This window comes from Homo sapiens, chromosome 2, assembly GCF_000001405.40.
Source record: "Homo sapiens chromosome 2, GRCh38.p14 Primary Assembly".
Classification (NCBI taxonomy): domain Eukaryota; kingdom Metazoa; phylum Chordata; class Mammalia; order Primates; family Hominidae; genus Homo; species Homo sapiens.
In genome coordinates, this window is record NC_000002.12 from 148,489,235 (window position 1) to 148,509,292 (window position 20,058).

General features: G+C 36.7%; 1 protein-coding gene across 31 annotated transcripts in view; it reads left to right on the forward strand.

The window, feature by feature from the left end:
- MBD5 (methyl-CpG binding domain protein 5) overlaps positions 1–20,058 on the forward strand; it is a 496,045-nt gene that overhangs the window by 468,308 nt on the left and 7,679 nt on the right. For 19 of the 31 annotated variants that reach the window (XM_047445056.1, XM_011511472.3, XM_047445068.1 and 16 more), the window contains 2 exons: positions 152–1,360; positions 13,163–13,275. In XM_047445056.1, coding sequence (XP_047301012.1) covers positions 152–1,360; positions 13,163–13,275 — 1,322 coding nt within the window. Of the gene's footprint in view, positions 1–151; positions 1,361–13,162; positions 13,276–16,526; positions 16,597–20,058 lie in introns of all 31 variants that reach the window. The other 12 variants (NM_018328.5, NM_001438862.1, NM_001438856.1 and 9 more) reach the window with 3 other exon arrangements.

The following is a 20,058-nucleotide window of genomic DNA, read 5'->3' on the forward strand; positions in this document are numbered from 1 at the left end:
TTTTTATTTCATTTTTTGAGTCTTGTTCTTTATATTTCCTTCCTTGTTAATATTTGTTTGTCTTTTGGTAAATTTTAAAATTATAGTCTTTCTCTTTGAGGCCTCAAAATTATTTCCCTTTCTCTCACTGCTTCCTGTCTATTTCTTCAAGGTGAGAATGCAGGAAGATGCAGCTCTCCTAAACAAAAGAATAAGCACTCAGCCTGGGCTCACAGCACTTCCTGAGAATCCAAACACTACACTTCCACCTTTTCAAGATACACCTTGTGAGTTGCAACCGAGGATTGACCCATCTCTTGGTCAACAGGTGAAGGATGGCCTCGTTGTGGGTGGCCCAGGTGATGCTTCCGTAGATGCCATTTACAAAGCAGTTGTCGATGCAGCCAGCAAAGGAATGCAGGTTGTCATCACCACTGCAGTCAACAGTACAACTCAGATCAGCCCCATTCCAGCTCTGAGTGCCATGAGTGCCTTCACTGCCTCAATTGGTGACCCATTAAATCTCTCCAGTGCTGTCAGTGCGGTCATTCATGGACGGAACATGGGAGGTGTTGATCATGATGGTAGGCTGAGGAATTCAAGAGGGGCTCGGCTGCCCAAGAATCTAGACCATGGGAAAAATGTGAACGAAGGAGATGGGTTTGAATATTTCAAGTCAGCAAGTTGCCACACATCCAAAAAACAGTGGGACGGGGAGCAAAGCCCCAGAGGGGAGCGAAACAGGTGGAAGTACGAGGAATTTTTAGATCATCCAGGCCATATCCACAGTAGTCCTTGTCATGAAAGGCCCAACAATGTCTCTACACTGCCATTTCTGCCTGGGGAACAGCACCCAATACTGTTACCACCAAGAAACTGTCCAGGGGATAAAATTCTAGAGGAAAATTTCAGGTATAATAACTACAAAAGAACTATGATGAGTTTTAAGGAGAGACTAGAGAACACTGTGGAAAGATGTGCACACATAAATGGGAATAGACCTCGACAGAGTCGGGGATTTGGAGAGCTGCTAAGCACTGCAAAGCAAGACCTGGTCCTAGAGGAGCAGTCTCCAAGTTCCTCAAATAGTTTGGAAAATTCTCTGGTCAAAGACTACATCCATTACAATGGAGACTTTAATGCCAAAAGCGTTAATGGGTGTGTGCCTAGCCCTTCAGATGCTAAAAGCATTAGTAGTGAAGATGACCTAAGGAACCCAGACTCCCCCTCTTCAAATGAATTGATACATTATAGACCAAGGACGTTCAATGTTGGCGACTTGGTCTGGGGCCAAATCAAAGGACTGACTTCCTGGCCTGGAAAATTAGTAAGAGAAGACGACGTTCACAATTCATGTCAACAAAGCCCCGAGGAAGGGAAGGTATACCAATCTTTATCCATTGTCAAATACTAACCTTTGTTCAGATATCAATTATTGCTTTTTGTTATCATCACTTTGGATTCTTTGGATTTGAAATTAGGATTCTTCATGACTCATTGAGGTCTCACAAGCTTCTGGAGCATAAAATGAAGAGGGGATGGTTATAGTCAACAAAATGTCGTATCAACAAGGGGTGAGTTGTAAAGCATTTATAGATCACACTAGGGCTCAGGGTGGCTGTAAGCCAGGAACCAGATTTCCAGAATTTAGTCAACTCTGCCTTCCCTCTCTACAGTTACCTAGTTCTTCATTTCATACACAGAGGAGGAAGGCAAGTGTCAATGACTGGGGAAAAAAATCTGGTAGCCTTTGGAGGTCCAGGAGTGTGGCAGGGGTAAGGACCCCCCAGGCAATGGTTGCGCCAGGGGACGGCATCTCCTCCATGTGCTTACATGTGGCACACACAGCTGGGAAGGGGGTACAGTCTGGGTGGAGTTGCAGCCATTTCTGGAAGCAGCAGGTAAAGTCTGAGTTCAGAATGATGTCTCCTTTCAGGAAAAGTTCTGGGCCTTTAAAACATATGGAAATGTTTAACCTCATAGTCTGGTTCTACTTAACACAATTAGATCACATAAATTAAATGAAAGCTTCTCCATGAAACTACCGTTCAATTTAAAAGAAATTAGTAGGGGTCTTCTGGGCCTTTTTTTTTTTTTTTTTCGGCCTTTACAATAATGGTGGAATTGGCTCACTAGGCAAGAAATATGCAGAGTGTTTAAAGTAGATAGAAAAATTTATATCTGACCAGGAGGAGATAATTATGCACATTCCCCCATATGATTAAAAACGTATAATTTTTCATCTTCTTAGGTAATAAAAATTACTCTTACAGGTATATGTTATTCTCGTAAAGAGTGTATTGTATAAAGCAATTTCAACTGTGCTCAAACTTTCACTGGCACTTAGGTTTAATGACAGGAAACCAAAAGCATTTTTGCCAGCACAATAAAGGGATTGTCTTTCTCCAAATGACTAGGAGGTCCTAAAACCTTGCTCATAATGCCTAATATATACTTGTCAGGATACACTCTGGCCATAATGTTTGTACATTTGATAAGAAAATGAATTCCATACCCCTATTCACAAAATATTTTATTCTCTATACTCTCTGAGTTCAGACAAACATTCTTTAGGTTGAAAAACCTAAATATTTTTGACAGTTTATTCAAGAAATAATTAGAAACAGAAAAAGTGGGCTTTTATGATATAAATGGAACTGCTACAAATACAAGATGTAGACATTGAACTGTTTTACAATGTCTGTGCAAACGAACTAAGTCTTTTTTATGTGCCATTTTACCAAAAGCTTAACTAAAAAAAAAGATTATGGCCTCCCTTCCCTGGAAGCATTCTCCCTGTCCTAAATGCCTTGTCTAAATATCTTTTTATGCCCTTAGGAGAATAAAGGCATGTACTTTTAACACATTTCACATTAAACAATGGTCTAGATCTTCTGATTAATCTGTGCTCGAAAACTCCTGAGACTGAGGTATTCACTGATGTTAGGGGAGATGTACTTTAAAAAAAAAAAACGAAGAGAAAAATATTTTTCTTCACTTAAATAAGCAAAGTAGTATGTAGTATTCATTCCACTATAAAGTAATATTTTTAAAATCCAGATTCTTCTTCCTTAATTTTGGCAATAGATGAATTATAATAGGAAACATAAAACTGTTGCTGTAAATTCATATATTCCTCCTCTCACTGGCTGACCTTGTCATTTTGGATTCTCAAGTAAAAACCTTTATATCAAGATATACTATATACTAAAAGTATTTTTAGTAATTCAGAGAATTTAATTTAAAGCACACATTTAGAGGTGAAAAACTGAAAACATGTAATAAAATATTAATGATAATACATGAAACATTTATCTATCATTTAAAAAGCAAGGTATAACAGCCTTAGAAGTGCTAAGGACTCAGCATTTTTAAAAACCTGTTCCTTTCAGGACCTACCACACTTTTGCACATAAGTAAACTAAGTACTACTTCATAAACATTCTTTTTTCCTCTATACAACACAAAACAAGACTTCCTAATACCTTATTTAGTGATGCTCCGTGAGTCAAAGTTCTCATTTTACAACACCAGAAAAGGTAAAAATTCAAACAGAGGTCTGTCTGACTTCAAGCCAAGTGTCTGATATATTAATGGCCCTAGTTCAGGAAGAAAAAGTAAAACTATGTTCAATATCTGTATAAGACAAAACGTGATGTATTTCAGAGAGATATCTAGTAGAACACTTTTTAAAATTTGTTACTCATTCAGGTGAACCAATTTTGATGTAATTTTATTTATGTAGAACTCCTTAATGCCCAAGAATGTTGGATAAAGCCTTACACACTAATAACTGGACTTCTGCTTCTAGAAAGGTAAGCATTGCCTTAGTTTACCTTCTGTACACTATGGCAATGCCTGACATTTTTAGAAAGTCTAAAGCAGAAAGGCAGAGACTAGGTCCAAATCTGTTTATTATAGTAAAACTTTTCTCATTCCGCCTTGCTAATGTGCAATGTGGGATCATTTTCCATAGTGTTTATCTTTGTAGCGTCTAGGAAGAAAAAAATTGCCAAACAATTTTCCTACATTATCACTTTAAACTTTCTTAGCTTCTCAGCTTTCATACTATTTCTATGTCCACCAAAGAATCCAAGATTCTGTCAGATCCCACCAGATAAAAATCTACGTTAACACAAGTTTTAGAATAGATTTATTACCCCTGACTCCACCCTACAACATATCATTTATTATTTTCAGTTACAGGCTTTGTTCTCAGCAAGCCACTCCAAATTCTTTATGGAAGCAGGCAAAATAGAAAATAAAGATAATTAATTGACAGGATAGAAGATTACTATTTCAAAACAAGCTGGGTGCCTCTCCTATTTTTAGGTTGCGTGAATGGTCTCTGGTCTAAGGAAGTCAATGCTGTGTGATCAGAGCACTGATAATTGCCAAGGGCTGAGACCTCCCCATTGTCAATACATTAATATTTTAGCAGACACTGTTGGTCATAATAGTAACTGACTTGGTCAGCTTATGATCTTAGAAAGGCCTTTTTGGTCTTTGGTGGGATAGTAAATGTAGCAGATTATTGATATGCATTAGTCATGTTCTGTAGTTTCTGAGATGATTTCCTAAAAGGTATGGTTTTTAGACATCGAATACTGTATAAACACAGTCTGCAGAGAACTAGAAAAAAAGCAGGGTGTAGCATAAAGAGGCATGGGTTTTGGGCACTCTGATGTGAGCCTAATCTTAGCTCTGCCAGTTACCTAAGTGGTCATAGTAGGTATATTAATCTCCTAGAAGCTGCAGGCTACTCACCCCTTTCAAGTGAGAATATTAATTTCTATTCAAAGAGATGCCTTAAGAATTCAGTGAAATACTGTAGATTATTATCTAGCACATCAAAGAGGTTCAGTAAACATTAACCTCCTATCCTCTGCCCTTTATGTTAGACAGTCTTATTAATTTAGATTCCACCATTATGGAATTGTGGTAATTTGACCTTAGTTATTGTTTACCTCTGCATTGTCCATGTATAAAGGATTTATTAACCAGGTTGAGAGTAAAGGATTATAAGGATTACAGTCAATGAATGAAATAGTTCATAACTATGTTTACAGCACATGTACAAATTGGCATATCTGATTATAAGCTAGTGTTAGCTGTTAATTTCAAGCAGGAGTTCCACTTGAAAGCGTTTTAAAGCACTCAGTTTGTTGAGTGAACTTGAAAGTTCCTCTTTCCTCAATGTTTCTAAAAAAAAACAACTCAGACTTTCTTCCTCTACCTTCCCACATAACTCTCTTTCACACGTAAAACAATATTAATTAGTGGAGATTTTTAACAGCCTGTGAAAAGTTGGGATGAATTGCCTGTATGTATTACTTTCCTAAGATTGAAGCTATGTGACAGCATTGGAGGACATTATGTGCCTTGTATTATACCACTCAGGAAGTGCTATCTCCTTCCTAATGTGTTTTTTCCCTTGGTTAACAATTTGTAATAAAGTACATTCTGGGCCGGGCGCGGTGGCTCACGCCTGTAATCCCAGCACTTTGGGAGGCCGAGGCGGGCAGATCACGAGGTCAGGAGATCCAGACCATCCTGGCTGACACGGTGAAACCCCGTCTCTACTAAAAAATACAAAAGAATTAGCCGGGGGTGGTGGCGGGTGCCTGTAGTCCCAGCTACTGCGGAGGCTGAGGCAGGAAAATGCCGTGAACCCGGGAGGTGGAGCTCGCAGTTAGCCGAGATCGCGCCACTGCACTCCAGCCTGGGCGACAGAGCGAGGCTCTGTCTCAAATAAAAAAAATAAAATAAATAAAAAAAATTGAAGTACACTCTGGGAGATAGTTATACTTGTTCTAAATAACTGGTGCAAGTTTCTTTCTGAACCATGAACCCTTTACTGTTCGTGGCTCAGTGACCAGGAATAAGACCTCAGTGCTGTGCTCCAGTGCATAGCCAGAACCAGACAGATTCACTTCCAGATCTTGGCGTAATGTTAGGGAATTCTTGGGAAGAAAATGGCTACCTCTGACATTACACCTCTATGCCTTAATTTGCAAACATTTTTAAGCCTATGCAACAATGGAGGAAATGGTTATCTTTATGTACCTATTTCAATAACTATTTAAATTTAAAGAAAATGCTCTTGTTTTCTAAAATATATTTTATAATTGTCATCTGTCATCTTTAATTTTATGTTAACTAGCTTAAAAGGGTTGCCTCTCAAGCAGTAATAATCAAAAACTAAAATTTTTATTTTTTTCTGCATAGATCATTTTTACTTTTTGAGCATCCTCCCATTGGTCTTCATATATCATTGCTCTTACATTTAATGTATATTCTGACCCAAGCCAAATTTAAGAAATAATTTATTACTAGACTGGCACCAAAAGGTTTCTTTTCAAAGAAATGACTGTTCTTGGACAGATACAGAGACACCTGATTACCAAAAAAAGGTCTACATCTCTGTTCTACACTACCTGGTTAAATGAAGACATTATTTTCAAAGCATAAGTGGGTAGGGTGTTCCCTCTTCAAAACTGCTCTTTGACTTTTTTCCATACAGTTATTTCTGGCAAGTAGAGATAAAAACAGCTCTCTGAATAGTCGTTCAAAACCAACAAAACTTATCTTTATTAAAACTCATAACCAAATCTATTGGGGGGCAATACATTTTCTGTATGTCAGTTCAGCATCACACACACATGTGTTTTGACAGCATGGAGCATAACCAGAGACAACTTACCTTGCATTCTGGGGGTGTGTAACTTAAGAAGTTGAGCCCCAGGAACTAACTTTGGGAGGTGCGTCCTCCTGTGATGTTCAGACATTTTACTTTGAAGAATGTTCTTTCTGTGTTTATCAGTGTTAGCTGTTTGTATTCTTTGGTACTATAATTCTCTGTTGAGAATGTTCTTGGTGTATTCACTTTGCCTTATACATTTTCTTAACCGCTGTTGGAAATGAATCCTTTTCTCTCTACCATAGCATCCACAATACTTGGGTTGCATTTTGGTTGGTGGTGTGACAGAGGCAATCAATGCCCTGTCAGCACCAGAATCTCCTTGAAAGGGAGCAAAATAGTTTTTCAAAAGTAATAAGAAAGATAAAATCCAGGCCAATAAAGTCAATTCCTGATCAGAATTTGAAAGATAATAAAAATGAAGAACTAGCAAAGACCAAAAATGTGAATATAAAGAAAAAAACTAAGCTGAGTAAAAGAACTGTAAACTTTACTATAGTGAACTGTGAAATATTGTGAACTTTTTTCCTGAGCCAGATTAAAGAGGACTAGGAGGCCTATCTTCATTCGCATAGGTAACTGAGCCCAACACAGACTACATGAGCTTGTTCATATAATTTCAGATAGGAAGCAGGAAATAGATTCTCAGGTCTGAGGCAACTACTTGCTTCTGTTACATGAACTTTTAAACATTGTTTCCTTAGAAATTACAAGTTTATCTGAAACATTTAATTCTATCTATGTGTTGTGGATTGATATGCAAATTGTAGTCACATTTAGAATGGATTTACCCCCGTCCTGTAATGTACTTCCCCAGTGCTTAAAAACACTGCTATCCAAAGTGAAGAAGAAAGGAAGCACCGAAAAAGGCCTCAGATAATGCCACTAAATTGTGATAAAGAGAATTTGGTTAGTTCATTTGAAAAAAATTGGGATTCATTTAAAGGAATGATTAGTACTCTGCCATGAGAACTATTGTACTATTGTTGGAAAACAATTAGGTTCATCCTGTCACAGGTGAATCAACTTTTTACTCTAAATTATTTATCATTTAATATTAATTCCCAGTCTTTAAAAAATATTGAAATATTGCACTTAAGTTAGCAGAAATTTTTTCAGTTTGAAGATGTTATTTTAAAAACATATATATTATTTTTAATATTTACTATTTAATAAATGTTTGATAATGAACCTAATAAATGCCTCATATTTGCTTTCTACTTCAGAGCTATATTTCCCAGACTTCAGCTAAAGCTGCATATTACATATATTATTATTTACTTAAATTTTTTCTTTAAATTTATCACTTAATTGATTCATTCAATAAATATTTATTAGGCACAAATGTACTAGGCACTATTCAAGCCACTTTTTAGATTTAAACAACTTAAGTTTTATCCTAGGATATTGTATATGTAAAATCATAATATTACTTGTATTTTTCTAATGTAAACTTATATGAATAATATAACTATTAAAAATATGCAAAGGAGGCCAGGCACAGTGGCTCACACCTATGATCCCAGTGCTTTGGGAGTCTGGGGTCAGAGGATCACTTGAGGCCAGGAGTTCAAGACTAGCATGGGCAACATAATGAAACCCTATCTCTACAAAAAATTGTTAAAAATTAGCGAGCATGATGCTGTGCACCTGTGGTCCCAGCTACTTGGGAGGCTAAGGTAGGATGATCACTTGAGCCCATGAGGTCAAGGCTGCAGTGAGCATGCCAGGCATGGTGGTGCACCCCTATAATTCTAGCTACTTGGAAGACTGAGGTGGGAGGATCACTTGAGTTCTGGAATTCAAGGTTACAATGAGCTATGATCACACCACTGCACTCCAGCCTGGGTGACAGAGTGGAGACCTTGTCTCTAAAAAAAAAAAAAAAAACTAAAAAAGAATATTTAAAGGTTTGTCCATGTTTTACCTAAATAATTTTACATACCACCAGTGGCCCTTTGACTGCTTTGGTGTTCATAAAGCACCTTCATGTTCGTGGTCATTTTAGATCCTTTCAGTGACCCACAAAGATGTGCAGAATTATCCCCATTTTACAGATGGGAGAACTGAAGCTCAGAGAAGTGGCATCCCAAAGAATACAAATCACAGGTAGTTAAGCCAGGTCGCAACCCTGGTCTTCTATTCTATATGTAGCACTCCTTACATTATGCCATTCCCCAACAACAGGACTTTGTAGAAATGGAATGGGGAAGTAAAGACTGAAAAGGTGAGCTTGAGGTCAACTCTGTTATAAGATCGATGATGTGGCTAGTGCTCCATTATTCTTTGACGTTTGCACAACAGCTCTGCTTCAGCAATAAGGAGCACCAAAGAATTCACACAGAGAGGTGTTATCAAGATTAAAGCCTGCAGAAAATTTTAACATCATCTCCGGTTAACCAGCTCTATTTAAAAGTGATCTAGGATCATTGATCCAGGTTCTTCGTTTTTGTTTGTTTGGTTTTTGTTTTGTTTTTGAGATGGAGTCTCTCGGCTCACTGCAACCTCCAGCCTCCCATGTTCAAACAATTCTCCTGCCTCAGCCTCCTGAGTAGCTGGGATTACAGATGCCTGCCACCATGCCCAGCTATTTTTTGTATTTTTAGTAAAGACAGAGTTTTACCATGTTGGCCAGGCTGGTCTGGAACTCCTGACCTCATGATCCACCCGCCTCGACCTCCCAAAGTGCTGGGATTACAGGCGTGAGCCACCATCCCCAGTCAGATCCAGGTTCTTCAAATATGTATTATACCTCTCTTTCGAGGGTTGGTTTGGCTCTCTGAAAGGTTATGTCTTCTTTTGTCAGACTTTAAGTTTCTTCTGAGATACATGAGGTCCCACTGTGCTGACACCAAATCAAAAACTTAGTTAAATTATCAAATGTGTAATATGGGCCTTCTGAACAAAATAAGCAAATAAGCAACCAGAGATTCAGCCTTGTTCAGAAAAACTCTTAATCATCTACCACATAGTAATGTCTGGCTTTATGAATATGTTTCTATCCGCACTGAACAAACTATAAAACTATTTATGTTGAAGAATTATTATATCCAAACAATTTGAATGAAAGAAGAGTTTTTAATAGTCAAAAAGTATTGGTAGGGCACGGTGGCTCATGCCTTTAATCCTAGCACTTTTGGAGGCTACGGCAAGCAGATCGCTTGAGCCCAGGAGTTTGAGATCAGCTTGGGCAATATAATGAGAACCCTGTTTCTACAAAAAAATAAAAAATAAAAAAATTAGCTGGGCATTGTGGCACACAGCTGTGGTCCCAGCTACTAAGGAGACTGAGGTGGGAAGATTACTTGAAGCCCAGGAGGTCGAGGCTGCAGTGAGCCAAGGTCACGCCACTGCATTCTAGCCTGGCCAACAGAGCAAGACCCTGTTAAAAAAAATTAACATTTAACATATGTGTATATTTATACATGAATAAGTAAACTATGAATACATATAAATTCCAGGTAGCTTTATGATTCTTAAATGACATGAGTAAAGAGTTACACCATGATGGCCAGTACTATTAGCATCATTGCTATCAGCATGAAACTGTGTGGGTAGATGATGAGTAAAGATAAATGATAAAGCCCTCTCCTAAATTCTCACTAAGATAGAGTTAAATAATTCATGAAACTCCTGGCTTGTGATCGTACAAGAATACAAGATTATAATTATAGATAAAAGTATTATCTTAAATTAGTTGCTCCTTTAGTGTAAGTTTTATAAAAATATTTGTGTGTGTTTAACCTTTTTAATGTTACATTTATGTATTTGATTTCCTGGTCCTTTTTAAAATTTACAAGTTAGCTAAGTAATTTACAAGGGAGTGTTCATTAAACATGATTTCTATTTAACTAGAAATTGAATTTATTTTGTTGTTCTCTGATACCATTTTGGGCGGGGGTATCTTTAAAGTTTCTTGAATATTTTTCAAATGTATGAATATTTCCCCAGAAAAAACACACACTCTTCATATATATTTCACAACACAGTAAAGTGCTAAAATCCTGAAACAAACTAAACTTTCTTCTGAATATGTATGATCTTGTTATAGCAGAAATGCACAGTGATATATATCTTACTTACATTTAGTTTCAGGACTATATTTGCTTTCTTTTTCGAGGTCATTTAATCCTTTATAAATAATATAGTTCATTATAAGAGTATGTTAGAGGCTTAGAGGCAGATTTAAATGAAGAAACCATGGCAGAGTATTAGTTCAGAAAAAATATCCCTGGAAAATTATTCAAGCATAAAAAAATTGAATATAAATTTGGGCAAGTTGTCATCTAAATTTTGTAGAAATATAATTTTAAATAGTTTGACCTAAATTTTTGAGTGTGCCTGTGTGTGTGTATTTTATATATGTGTGTGTAATTTTATATATATAAATGCTATATATATATAAAATGACTACATTTCAATGTATATTGGAGTTGGTATGGTGGAGAGAAGTTGAGCACTTTGGAGTCAGACCTGAGTTTCAGTTCTGGTCACGTTATTTAAATGCACCGAGTCCCATCTGTAATAACATAAAAGTAATACTAGTTTGCAGTAGTATCATATTAAATGATAAAACAGTGCCTTTTACATAATAAATGCACAAGAAATGTTTTTACTGTCCCTTAGTCCATAATTAATTAAAAATAAAAATTGAAGACTTAAAAAAATAGTTCGACCTAACTTTGTTTTTTAAATTAAGACCAATGGGGTAAGTTTTAATTGCTGTGTCTTGCTTTGTTTCACTGTGACTCTGATTCTGTGACCTGATCAACCCCTTCTGAGGTCCCTCGCTACACCAGTTTAAGTCTAATAGAAGTTTATGTTATATAGCACAGCTCCTTTCCTGCTGCCAAGAAGCTTATTTAAATATAAGTGGAATCATTTATTGATTACAAAAATGAAATATGCAAAGCATCTTTCATATCCCCTTCATGTGAGTGAATACAAGATGGAGGCTCATTTCTAACATGAAATATGAAAGTGCTTCCAGGCATCTTTTTTTTTAAACAACACATGGATACATTTAGCTCACTTTAGCTTTTCCAGTGGTCCCAGTAACCCAATAGGACACTTTTCTTTATGTGAAGTGTTATTGGAACAAAGTTGTCTCTTGTGCTGGCACACAGTGAGTTGGGTATGTATGAGCTTGTGTGTATAAGACATTTGTTTGGGCAAAATACAAAAACATGAAAAGGAAAACAAACATTTCCATATTTGACTGTTTTTCTCATTGAATATTAGAAATGCTTGTTTTCAGACTTAATAATGAAAACTTCTTGTTAATCATAACTGTGTTCTAGATTTGAAGGGGTCATAGAGAAGTTATTTCTAAAGGACATTCATGAGTCAATGTTGGGGACACAAAGACAAAAGTTGATAATCATTTCCTTGCTTATTAGTGTTTATTTTCTTACCCATGAGGCATTTTGTTTAACTCTGTATTTTTATGTAACAGTGGATTGGAGGGGAGTAGCAGGGGTTGGAGGAGAAATGGGAGTAAAGTGGCTGGCTTTTGCCCCAACTGAATAGCTGAGTTACTTGCCTTGAAACTATGCTTACATACCAAACAACACTATTTTTACTTAGATTGTGTGTGTGTGTGTTTACAGAATAAAAATAGCCATGTTTTTCTAAAAGTGCTTTTATTCCCAAGTCACATACAAGTTTTCCTAATTATTGTTTTTATTGTGGGGAGGTGGCTTCAAGAACCATGATAGAGATTCTCAGGAGTGTGCAGCAAAGGTTGCACCCTCCACACACACACATATCCCCCCACCACACTTGGTGGCTGACCTCTGTTGACATAGCTGACCACACACAGACTGGCAGTGATAAAGCAAGACAAGACAAAGGACACACCCACAAGGCATAGCAACACCCTCTTCTCACGTTTTATGGCCTCTGCAGAGCCAAATGTGTACTAGGTCATGATCATTACTGTATGCTAGGATAAGTGTTCAACAAGACTTGTCACATTTTAATTTTCACAGCAGTTCTAGCAGGAAGGTAGGTATTATTGTCCTCATTTTACAGAGGAGACTGAGGCTCAGAAAATGTGTTTTACTCCTACTAGGAAGTGAAAAGTAGGATTCAAACTTTGATCTGTTGGCCCAAGGCCCACCCACTTCACTAACTACCTCTCTTGTCTTCCCCTGATACTTATATCACAGTAGTCTGATACTACAGATTTGCAGTTGCTAAGAAAGTGAACCAGGATCTCTGATTTTTATGATTTTGTGAATTGAAGGTTGTTTAAATTCCAGATTTTATTCCCAAAATATTATTTTCAAAATGTTGACAATTTTAAAGCCAAACAGCTTTTCACTTCCACTGATGCTGCAGCCTGGAGCCACAGAATCAACCTCTAATGATTGAGTGAGGACAGAAGATTTGACAAGGTAGTGAAGGTTAAGGCTCCCCTCCCCGCCAGTGCAGCACCTGCTTGTACGGCAGGAAAGTAAAAACCGTGTTTAACAATTACAGGTCTGGGTAATGTGGTTTGGTCTTCATACCTTCACTCAGGTGGAGCCCGAGAAGTTGAAGACACTAACAGAAGGTTTGGAAGCCTACAGCCGTGTCCGGAAAAGGAACAGAAAGTAAGCACTTTTCCAAAATTTTACTTTGTTTTTCCAGGATATAATTTACTGTTTTTCCATCAAAGGGACAATGAAATCTCACTGATTCTGTCCACGCTGTGGCCTGCCTAAGTGAAGTTTGTTACCACCAAAGAGGACCATTATAGACAAGCCAAATTAGTGATTATGGAAAATATCCTCTTAACATTTTATGTTTACACTATGTGTAATATTTGCCTCTTCATCTGTTCTTTCTTCATTCCCTGCATCTTCATTCCTCTCATTTAGTGGAAAATAAAATATAATTAATATTCTCAACATATAGCAATTAAATAGGCTCTGGAAGTGTAGTGAATCAATCCATTTGCAATTCAAATACTTTGGGGAGTAAATACCCCTCGTTGTACACATGTAAATAATTTTGGCAGATTACTAGTCAAAGTGATGCTAAATAAAGATTTTTTTTGTTGCATCAGGGATGTGGACTTAAAAGTAAGTTTTCTTTGGAATTACAACAAGAAGTTGAATTTCAGGCCAGTATTATTCAAGTTTTTCTAAATCTTTATTTTCTGAGTAAATGTAGTACGGACAAGCAGATAATATTAGAAACATAGTTTTTACTGTGATACAATGTATGTTTATGTATCATAACTATTATTTCATATTAAGGTAGAAAACTACAAATGTGCTTCTCTATATGTACATAGCTATTTAAACATATGTAATTGATATGCCTGTTCAGTTGCCATACTAATTTCTGCATTATCAAGCAACCAAAAATTATATATTAGTTAATTTTTATTCATTTGCAAAATGATCCTCACATTTCCCCCCAAATATTGACACATAGGCTTAATGTGTATATGTATTGTCGTCTTTCTAAAAATACCATTTTAACTTCTGTTTGTACATCAAGACTTACAAAGTGGAGATCAGAATGATTCGTAGTGTATCTTGCATAGAAGGCTTATATAATGATATCAGTAATATCTATTAAAAAGCATTCTCTTTCACTTTATGGTGTTTCCCATAATTCTGGCCAGAGGCATAATTTTAGAAGTCAACAAATCTTAGGAAGACTCTTCACCTCAATAAAAGGTATCTGAAAAGATGACAGCTGCAAGGGGCAAACTCCTATGTCTCTATGTCCCGGACTCCTTTAAAAGGTAGCAAATTGGTACTGGCTGTGTGAAAGGCCAAGTTAATTGCCGGATAACATCCCTCTAGACCTGATAAGGAAAACAGGGATCAAGGTCCCTTCTACTCTTACTGAAGCACACTTGCTATGCAGAGCTTAGCAACAAGATAAGGCCACTAAAATTAATACAAGGTCTGGATAAAAGAAGGAAAATTGCAAATTACCTACACCACAAATTTGCAGTGGGCCAGTTGCTGTAAACTATTCAACAGTACCCATTTCTTTGGTGTAAAGGAGCCCTGAAAATGTTTCCTACAGTGAAACATGCCAGTTACTTGGATTATGTACAAAATAAAGTTAATAACAGAAATAAAATAACTCCTCCAAATATTCAAATACACTGCCTTGAAATGAGCTGTATTTTCCCCATGTATTTGCTATTAAGCAATTTCTGAAAGGTAATGAAAAACAAACTACAATTTTAAAAATGTTTCTTCAAAGCCAATTTCCTATTTGTAGTAAATTAATGTGAGAGCTATCTAAAGGAATTCTCCTCATGATAACCATAAACTTAAAGTACAGTTTGGAGAAGTAAAAGTAGAAAATACAAAACTAACATTTATAAAAAGAACTTTATTTACCATACTATTGTCTAAGCAGACAGACTTTCCTTTTCGATGCCCAGTAGAATGCTTTACATTTTGCACATGTAATTGCAAATTCATCATTTTATTCTCCCAGTCACGAGATGGGTCAAAATTACTGAGCCATTTGCAGATGCGGACACTCAGACTCAAACACTTTAAATAATTAGTTGAAAGTCCCACAACTGATAAATTATATGTTGAACCAAATCATTTTTTAATTTATGCATTTATTCCCAATTTAAGAAGACAAATTTAGCAAAAAAAATCTGTGCCAGGAACAGTGCTACAGTCCCTGAAGCTCACTGTTTAGTGAAAGAGACAGATGCAGAAACAAGTAATTCAAATGTCAAAATTGCAACAACAGCAATATATATACTATATTTTTGGGTCACAGGGAAAAGGCAGGTAAAGGAAGGGTTCCTAGAGGAGAAGATATGTGGGCCAAGCCTTAAACACTACATAGGCATCAGCCACACAAAGGAAACAAAGACGAAGATGGGGTGGGATAGTGTTTAGATGAGAGCAGCAGTTGGATTTGGGGGACTGTAAAGTATCGGATGGGAAGATATAAGAGGTATAAGCGGGAACCAGATCATGAAGGGCCTAGTAAGGACCAATAGGATGTTTTATTGTTTTGGAAGTGCCTAAAGGGGGCAGGTGGTCAGATTTTTCACCTTAGGTATGGCCGTGTACAAGGACAATTTTAAGGCAACAATATTGAAGATGAAGAGATTGTTCAGGAGCCATGGCAGAATACAAGGGAGAACGAGGACCCAAACCAGGAGCTGGTGGAGTTGGGGATGAGGATGGAAAAGAAGGAATGTGGTCAAGAAATACTTAGGAGGTAAAATAGACAGAACATGGGGTGATTGATCAGAATGTAAAGGAAAGGGAACAAAATCAAGGACAGCTCTCAGGTTTTCAGCTTGGGAGACTTGGTAGGTTGTAGAAACACTGACTGAAGTGGAGGTTACAGGGGGAAGCTGTTCAGTACAGTTTGGGGTGCCTGTAGGATAGGCTGGACATACGTGTCTGAAACTGGGGAGAAGTGGTATTTGACAGTATACAAATGACTGCAGTCACACAAAGATACTTTGACCAATTTGAAGAATAGTAGGCTAAGGATTGAACATGCAATAGAATGAAGAAGATGGGAAGAATGGTCAGTGAGGAGGAGGAGAATCAGGGAAAGTAGACAGAGTCTCAGAAGTCAAAGACTGATAAAATGATCAACAGAGGTGCAGTAAGACAAGAACTGAAAAATCCCCATCAGATTGGGCAATTTGAAGGTCACTGGTAAACTTCAGTGAGAACAGTTTCCAGTAGAGTGATGGGTATACACACAAAATGGCTATTAAATAAGAATAAGGAAATAGGGAGAGGAGATGTAGATTATTTACTCTTCTTTCTACCCATAATGTGAAAAATTCCTGAAAAATAACGAAGAAAGAATTTTTAAAATGACAAAGATTTGACTACTTTTGTAGACTGAGGGGAAGAAGAAAAGAGGAAAAGGCTGAAAAAGGAAGGTGTCATTTGGAGCAAGATAATTAAGAGGTTGGTTTTTCACCTGGACTCAAGTCCTGTTTCTACCACTTCATAGCTGTGTGTTCGTAATCTCCCTGGGCCTAAATTCTTCATTTCTAAAATGGGCATAATCCTATTTTAGGATTGTTATAACATAGATAATATAGAGAGAGCCTCAGCACAGTACTTGGCACATGGCATTTAGTAAATAGCTATTTTTCTTATAAAGATACAGGTGAAAGAAAGAAAATTATCTGTTATTTTTGCCAGTTGAAACATTCTACCACCATATTAGATGTTTGGTATTTTATATAGTCATTTTAATCCTCAGTATCCTCAATCAAACTGTACAACAAATAAATATCTTTAAACATATGTTCTAATTATATCCTAGTAGTAACATATTTATTTAATACATTACTTAGGGCAATTTTGTACTTAAAAGCAGAAATAGCTTTATTAAAGAAAAATTCCACAGCTTTTACATATGTTATAGTTTTCATTTAAGCGAGGAGCAAATCTTCTGTCTATATGTACGTATACATTTCTTGGGAAACCTGATTTTTTGTGAAGCTGGAAAACAATAAAGTGATTAAGTAAATCACATTTTCACTTTAAAACCAAGGAATGATACTTACCATGTTAAATTTCCTGAGATCTGCATACATTCCCCATGGATTCAGTTTCAGAGCTCAGGGTTTTTGACTTTTAGGTCTCACCCAAATTTGTTACATACTGTATGAAGTGAGTCACTTAAACTCTGAACTGACAGTGTAGAACAACTTGCAATTTCTCATTTCCCTTCTATTTCTTGTACTACTCATAGAGGTGTACCTGGCTTTTTAAAAAATTAGTGAAGATAAAGATAATGTGTGACAGTGTAGGCAATGAAGTTGAGAAGTGGCAATTATCTCCATTAATAATTAGAAATGTGATTATATGAACATCTATTACTTAATCAAGTAGGTTTTAGAGTGTCCATTAGTAAAAATGTTTATTATTAAATGTCAGCAGGGAATAGAAAATAGTAGAAGAAACTCCACAGGGAGGCCCTCTGGACTGAAAGACTGAATTTTGACTAATTGTTCATTTCTTGAATTCATAGAGCTTTTTCTTCCTCTTTTAAGTTCATTCTTCCCTGACCTGACCAGTAGCTGGTCTGCAGATATGACATCTGGGAGAGTCTCTCTTTACCTCTCAAATCTCATGATATATACAAATAATTTCATGCCCCACATCTATGTATTTATTTTCTCTTCCAAAAGTAGTCATTTCTCCCTCTATTAACTACTAAGTTGTGTTAAAGGTGAAACATTATACTAATTTAGCTTGAATTAATGCAAGGTGTTTACAAATATTTTAAATATCTTGAAGAATGAGATGACAAAACTCATGAAATTGTTTTTTCCAACAAGTAATGCTGAATCGTTTTTGTGCTTGAATGGTAATTGTTATTGCAATTTTTCATGGTTAGGTAAAAATCTTTTACCCATGACTATCACTTTTGAAAACTATAGTCAAATATCCATTTTCTTCATTACAAAATTAGAATTAATTTCACCAATTCTTAAAAAGTCATGAAGTATCACATACAAACAGTTGTCATAATACCTATTCCATCAAATTATTGTAAGGATTAAATGAGATAATGTATATAGAGTTTTAATACAATACTTGGGCCGGGCGCGGTGGCTCACGCCTGTAATCCCAGCACTTTGGGAGGCCGAGGCGGGCAGATCACGAGGTCAGGAGATCGAGACCATCCTGGCTAACACGGTGAAACCCCGTCTCTACTAAAAATACAAAAAATTAGCCGGGCGCGGTGGCGGGTGCCTGTAGTCCCAGCTACTCGAGGGGGCTGAGACAGGAGAATGGCGTGAACCCGGGAGGCGGAGCTTGCAGTGAGCCGAGACTGCGCCACTGCACTCCAGCCTGGGCGACAGAGCAAGACTCCGTCTCAAAAAAAAAAAAAAAAAATTCTTGGCACATAGACATTTTTTAATAAATAACAGGTATTTCTTTTACTAAGATTAAATGTGAGAGAACCAAGGTTCTCTGGAGGTTTTTCATTAAAACATTGTAACTTCATTTTAAATATTTGGAACTTTATATAGTCAATTTTAAACTCCTAAGATATTTTAATCAAAATTTATAATAAATAAATGTCTTATAAAACTTGTTAATACGTCAAACTTATGTTCATACAAAAGAAATAGTGAGGATAAATTTATTTAACACATTACACACAGTGCGATATTGTCAGGCAACGTGGCAATGATAATACTGTCAGAACCCTTGCCAAGCAGCCTGCAAAAGGGGCCCCAGCCCAGCCTCAGCAAACCCTAGGTGGCCTTGCAGAGTGCTCCCAGGAGCTTGCTTGGCAGACACCTCATTAGGAAAACAACTGAGACTGACTCCATGAGATGACCAGGGCCCCTTGAAACTGGAATGGGTAGGTAAAAGGAAGACAGTACATACATAATAAAAAAACTTCTTATATACCAGTTAGAAGGAATGAATAGATTATACAAACTAGATGGTATTTAAAACAGTTATAAGGAGAAAAAAGAGAAGTATGTATATCATGACACCTTTTGTGTGTGTGTTTAAAAAAAAACACACATAAAACAATACTAGATTAAAGTATAAAAGCAGACTAAAAGTTGAGGGGGGAAGGTGAGGGAAAATGGGACCAGGATAGGTAACAGGGAACTCCAGCTTTATTTTTTTAATATAAAAGACTTAAAGGAATTTATTAACATTTCCTTCCAGCGGGGGAATATATTAGGTTTATTTTATCCTATGTACTCCTCTGCATTTTAAAATTTCTAAAAATAAATGACAAAAATATAAAAGCTAAAGACTAGCTTACAGGGCAGCAAAAGGTAGGGGTTGATGCCATATTCCCCTTATAATTTGGTTAAAACCAATACACTAATTTTTCCCTTCAGTTAAACTGACCTAAGTACGTATATATTTTTTGAAACATAGGACCATCTGGGCCACCTTTGACAAATATTTTTATTTAGCAAATACATAGAGCATCTATGGTATGTCTAGCACTATAGAACTCAGGGGTGGAAAACTCGGAGTTCTCAAAGTGTAGACAGAAACTCAATGTATGCATTGTCCAGTCCTGGTGTGTGAGGAAAAAACCTAGGGAAAGCTATGGTAAACTGAACTAAAGTTCAAAAATGTTTCAAAACACTATGCTAACCAAACTAAATACAACAGTAAGCCAAACTCTCCCACGACTGCAAATTTCCAGTCTCCATGGTAGATGCTAAGATAGGACTTAACTCATGGAAACCCATGCTAACCACCTGTTATGAAAACGTTACCTCCAGCAGCTTTTCTAGTAATTGTCATGACAGGGTAAATGAAAAGAATCACCTTAGCACTTGGAAAAAATGAGTAATTATTTATTGCATAAAGGAGGAAAAACAAGTTAACAGTCAGGATGGGCAAAGTGTACATAACCACAGAGGTGGG